A 6,022-nucleotide genomic window follows, 5' to 3' on the forward strand; every position below is an offset into this window, starting at 1 on the left:
GTATCACGTGCAGGATTGATGTTGCGTTCACGGGAAACCTGACCTCCTTTAACCAAGGACTGGGTGCGTGCCCCCAGCTAATCCTCCTGCCCATCAGAAAATGGTGCTCTTTAAAGTTTTAAACGAGTATATATTATTTATTTTGTAGTAAACCATCACACATAGAAAATTAAAATTCAAAATCACAATCACCAGGATATCATAATTTGCTATATAATAACATATAATATATAATAAGTAATACATGATGGCTTGCTTTCATTGAAATGAAACTTCTTATGATAGTTTCAGTGCTTACTTCCTCTAATTTGTTTCTTATAGAAATGGGCTCTAGTGCACGCGCCTGTAATCTCAGCTACTCAGGAGGCTGAGGCAGGAGAATCGCTTGAACCCAGGAGGCGGAGGTTGCAGTGAGCCGAGATGGCGCCACTGTGCTCCAGCCTGGGCAACAGAGCCAGACTCCGTCTCAAAAAAACAAAAAAAAACAAACAAAAAAAAAAAAAAGAAAAGAAATGGGCTCTAGGTCCGGCATGATGGCTCACACCTGTAATCCCAGCACTTTGGGAGGCCGAGGCGGGTGGATCACCTGAGGTCAGGAGTCCGAGACCAGCCTGACCAACATGGTGAAACCTTGTCTCTACTAAAAATACCAAAATTAGCCAGGTATGGTGGAGTACATTCGTAATCCCAGCTACTCGGGAGGCTGAGGCAGGAGAATCACTTGAACCCAGGAGGCAGAGGCTGCAGTGAGTCGACATAGTGCAACTGCACTCCAGCCTGGGCCACAGAGCGACACTCTGTCTCAAAAAAAAAAAAAAAAAAAAGAAAGAAAGAAAGAAAAAAATGGGCTCTAGAAGATTTGACTTTCTTGTGGCATTGTAGACAATTTTAATAAATTATAATTTTGAGAATTTATGGTCTGCATTGCTGATTGATATTGATGATTCAGGAGATAGAAATTATTTAGGCAGATAGGGCAAAAGAGTCTTCAGCAGAACTTCTAACAAAAAACAGCTCAAGAAATCATTTTTTTTTCTAACAAAGAGCAGCCTGAAAGCCTGCAAACCTTGCAAAGATAGATCAGGAAGCTGGAAGCGTGCACACCAGGGCGCAGGGGGTTGGGGGGCAGCGTGCGGGTGGATGCCAGCAGCTGCGCTGATAGAAAAGGGCTACCTGGGGGCCAGGCATGTCCACCATGGAATCTCCATCTCCCCTTTTTTGTTAGCACGTGTACAGTAAGAAAGAGATGGGCGATATGGAAAAGCTCAGTCAGAGAACCCACCTGCGTAGTAAAAGATTGGGGTGGGGGCTGCCAGAGATTCATGCCCTATGCAGATGGCACACCTGGTCCTAACTGGTTTTTCACGCCCTATGTAGATCAGACTGCCTCCCCATTAGCTCATCTATAAAATTCTATAAAAAATATTTCACAGCGAATTGGCAACCCGGGGACCCCTTTCTGTAGCGGAGAGCTTATTCCCTTTCTTGTCGCCTATTACATTTCGGCTCTTAACCTCACTCTTTGTGTGTCTGCATCCTTGATCTCCCTGTGAGACAGCAAACCTTGGTGTCAGCCCACACAATGAGGCTGCTTCATTGATAAAGTTAATTTTTTTCCTGAGAGCTACACAAGTTTTCAGCAATATGTTTGTGAAATTACTACTGTAAATAAATTGCATTCCTTCAAAGGGTGAATGACAAAAAGCCACTACATTTTAGCAAGTCTGTTTTTATACTACTGAAGTTTCCACAATTAATTACTATATTGTATTTTATGTAATGCTAATTATTAATATCTAATCATTTGATAATTTATGTAATAATGTGTAATAACTCTAATTTGTCTATGTAATATTTGTGGACTATGATGACAAATTAATATCGGTTATTACATAGAAATTACTTGTGGATTTTTGTGGGAGCACTCAGTCATACCATTTAGTGTAGAATATAAAAAGCAGGTGATAGATGCTACAACATCAAACTCAGATTTAGCCAGTGCACTAATCTCAATAGAGAGTTACTTCCATTTTAAGCTACTTCCTAATCCATTCATCAGTCAGAAAAGCAGCTCTTTAGTTAGAAGGACACTTTATTTTAGATGTCCTATAAGGCCTTTTGATTATCACACTCATTTCTCTTTTGTAAAGCACATCACATATATATTCTCAGTTAAAACAAAAATTTTGTCAGAAAATTATTGCAATTAATATGTAAAAAGGCTGTCTTTGGAGCCAACAGTTATAATATTTTAAAAACTGTTTTCAATAATAAAGATGCCTATGATTTGAATATCACCCTCTCAGATGAACCCCCTCGTGAAGGGCCTCACATGAACATTGCGTGCGCCAACCCTGGTATTCGAGGTGGGAGAATCTGGAAGTGGTAATTAGAGCATTGACATGTCTCTAAAAAAATGGGGGTGGGAGGTGGTCACAGCCCTTTAGGGACATTCACTGCAGTGTGAAATGTATGTTGAGGGAGAAATCTTATTTGATCACCCATGGCCACTTAAAACCATTTTCACCTGCGCTTGAAACTACCTGCATTTTGAACTCCGTGGCTGACCGAATGATGGGCCTCTCTGAAAAGGAGTTTCCTTATCTGTACAACTGTGAGCCAGTAGTGAGGATGAGTGAAATCCCAGGTGAAGGGCCTACTCCAGGAGAAAGCAGAGTGGTCACATACGGGGCTGACAGTGAATGGCAGGTCTAGAGCCCCGTCTAGGGTGGGATTCCATAAACACTTTTGAAATTTTTTTTTCCTGTGGTTCTTCTTTGAAAAAACTTGACACTTCAGTGGAAAAAGATTCAATTATTGTAGCTCAAATATTAGAAAAAATGTATATTTTAAAGAGATAGTAGAATGTGTTGTCTAGTTTATATTGTGTGTGAACTTTGATGAACTTGCCAAGCTTCTAAAAATAAAAAAATTGTTTGGGCATCTCAGTGAGTGCGTGTTTAGATGGCCTATAAAATGAAAATTTCTCGGCCGGGCACGGTAGCTCACGCCTGTGATCCCAGCACTTTGGGAGGCTGAGGCAGGTGGATCACCTGAGGTGCGGAGTTTGAGACCAGCCTGTCCAACATGGAGAAACCCCATCTCTACTACAAATACAAAAAATTAGCTGGGCATGCTGGTGGGTGCCTCTAATCCCAGCTACTCACTCGGGAGGCTGAGGCAGGAGAATTGCTTGAATCCGGGAGGTGGAGGTTGCTGTGAGCCAAGATCGTGCCACTGCACTTGAGCCTGGGCGACAGAGCAAAACTCCGTCTCAAAAAAAAAAAAAAAAAAAAAAAAGGCTGGGCGCAGTGGCTCACACCTATAATCCCAGCACTATGGTTTGGGAGGCCGAGGCAGGCGGATCAAGAGGTCAGGAGATCAAGACCATCCTGGCTGGCTAACACGGTGAAACCCCGTCTCTACTAAAAATACAAAAAATGAGCCAGGCGTGGTGGCGGACGCCTGTAGTCCCAGCTACTTGGGCTTGGGAGGCTGAGGCAGGAGAATGGCATGAACCCGGGAGGCAGAGCTTGCAGTGAGCCGAAATCGCGCCACTGCACTCCAGCCTGGGTGACAGAGTGAGACTCCATCTCAAAAAAAAAAAAAAAAAAAGTAAAGTTCTCACTGTGTGTTACTTATTAAATTACTTTTTTTGAGTAATTTAAAAATAATGAAAAGTACAGAGTGATGTAACTAACGCCTAAAAATAATGAAAAGTACAGAGTGATGTAACTAACCCCCTGCTTCAATCTTCCAGAATTAACAATGACATCTGTTGGCATATTTGATTTTTAATTATTATTTTTTTAAAATTACGTAGAGTTGAACTCCCCAGCATTTCATATCCTGCTCCTCCTTCCTCACGTCCTTCCCTCAAGAAACCATTATTATGAATTTAGGGTGCAACCTTCCAGTCCATTCTTATATTTTTATGGTTATTATATATATTTGTGAATAATATATAATAGTTGTTCTTGTCTAAAACATTTTCATAAATAATATAATTTATGTTTTATTCTACAGCTTGCTCTTTTTTCTCAACTTTTTTTTTAGGTCTATCTGTATTTTTAAAAATAGATCTTTAATTCAATTGTAAAAATGGGCTTGATCAATCTTTCTGTTCTTCCAGTGTATTTGTCTTTTTGGCCTCCATTTTTTTTTTTTTTTTTTTAGAGATGGAGTCTCACTCTGTTGCCCAGGCTGCAGTGCAGTGGTGCGATCTCGGCTCACTGCAACATCCACCTCCCGGGTTCAAGTGATTCTCCTGCCTCAGCCTCCCGAGTGGCTGGGATTACAGGCACCCGCCACCACGCCCAGCTAATTTTTGCATTTTTAGTAGAGATGGGTTTCACCATGTTGGTCAGGCTGGTCTTGAACTCCTGACCTCAGGTGATCCACCTGCCTTGGCCTCCCAAAGTGCTGGGATTACAGGGTGAGCCACCATGCTGGGCTCCTGCTCTCCATTATTTTTAAACTTTGACATGCTCACCAAGTTGTAGTAAAATCAGGAGCACAGTATGACACACATTTATTTTTCTCCTGAAACATTAAGAGTGAGTTGCTGACATGACATTCCATCACTGTTGAATACTTTGGTGTGCATCTTACGAGAAATCGCTCCAGCTCTCCAACAGGAGAACAATACAGCCATCAAAATCTAGAAATTAACACTGAGACATTACTACCATCTAATCTTCAGGCCCCATTCATGTTTCACCAATTCTTCCACTAATGTCCTTCGTGGCAAAAGGATCTAGTCGAAGATCTTGCCTTGCATTTCATTATCATGACATGTCTCTATTTTCATCTGAACAGTGCCTCAGTCTCTTTGACTTCCAAGACTTTGACACTTTTGAAGATTCTAGGCCAGTTATTTTGTAGACTATTCCTTCTTGCGGCTTTTTCTGATGTTTTCTGGGGATTAGATTCAGATCCTGCATGTTTGTCAGGACTATCAGAGGTGACGCTGGTTCCTTGTCATTGCATCCCATCAGGTGGCACGTGATTTAGATTTGTCCCATCAGAGATGATGTTCATTTGATGACTTGACTAAGGTGATGTCTCCCAGGCTTCTCTATGGTGAAGTTATTTTTTTTGCCTCATATGTAATAAGTATTTTGTGGAGAGGTACTTTGTAAATATTCCATTCCTCATCAAACTTTCAGTTTGTTCATTTATTTATAATTATCTGTGTGGACACAGAGTTTCTTGTACTTGATGGGTTACAATGGGTTTTCTGTCGCTAACAATATTGATATCATTGCTCAGTTTCCCAATTTTGTCAGTGGCCTTTTCTGTAGCTGGCTTCGGCATACTTTGACTCATCCCCCCTTCGTTACTGGAGCACTTTGTTTTCTTGACACAAGCAGATATTCCTGGCTCATCTTATATTTTCCCTGCCCTGACTCTGAAATCAGCCATTTCTCCAAGGAGGCTTAGTTTTCTTTTAACGGTATTTCACATTCATTTATGAGGGGGCCAAGTGTACACGTTGCTATAGGAGCGTAACTGTTCCCAGGCCATCTTGGTGGATAGAGCTAGGGAATGTCTGAATGCATATGCATGAGTATATGTGTGTATGTATGTGTATGTATTATGTATATGTACATACATGCATATACAAACATATGTACACAAACACACATGCACTATTACATCCTTATTTATTTCTATATCTATCTACATATATTGAGAACTATACATTCATGATACCTCCAATTCCAGTTCAATATCATAGCACTCTTTCTAATTTTCTTACTTTTCATATATATAATTTCCTTTACCAAAAAATGAGAAAGGTGGCTCCCATTATCCTTTATAGATTTACGTATTTGGGCAAACCTCTTGCAGGCATCCACTCTCTCAGTGCCAGGCTTGCATCCCAGTCCCCATTTGGTACCCTTGTCATCCCACTTAGGTTCCAGTGCCCTGCACTGTCCCTCCTTCCTATCCTACTAGCACCCTGAGCCTTATATTGGGCCTGTCGTCTGTACAGACCCTGTTCTCACCTGGCTTGGGC

Source organism: Homo sapiens, chromosome 4 (assembly GCF_000001405.40).
Source record: "Homo sapiens chromosome 4, GRCh38.p14 Primary Assembly".
NCBI classification, from domain to species: domain Eukaryota; kingdom Metazoa; phylum Chordata; class Mammalia; order Primates; family Hominidae; genus Homo; species Homo sapiens.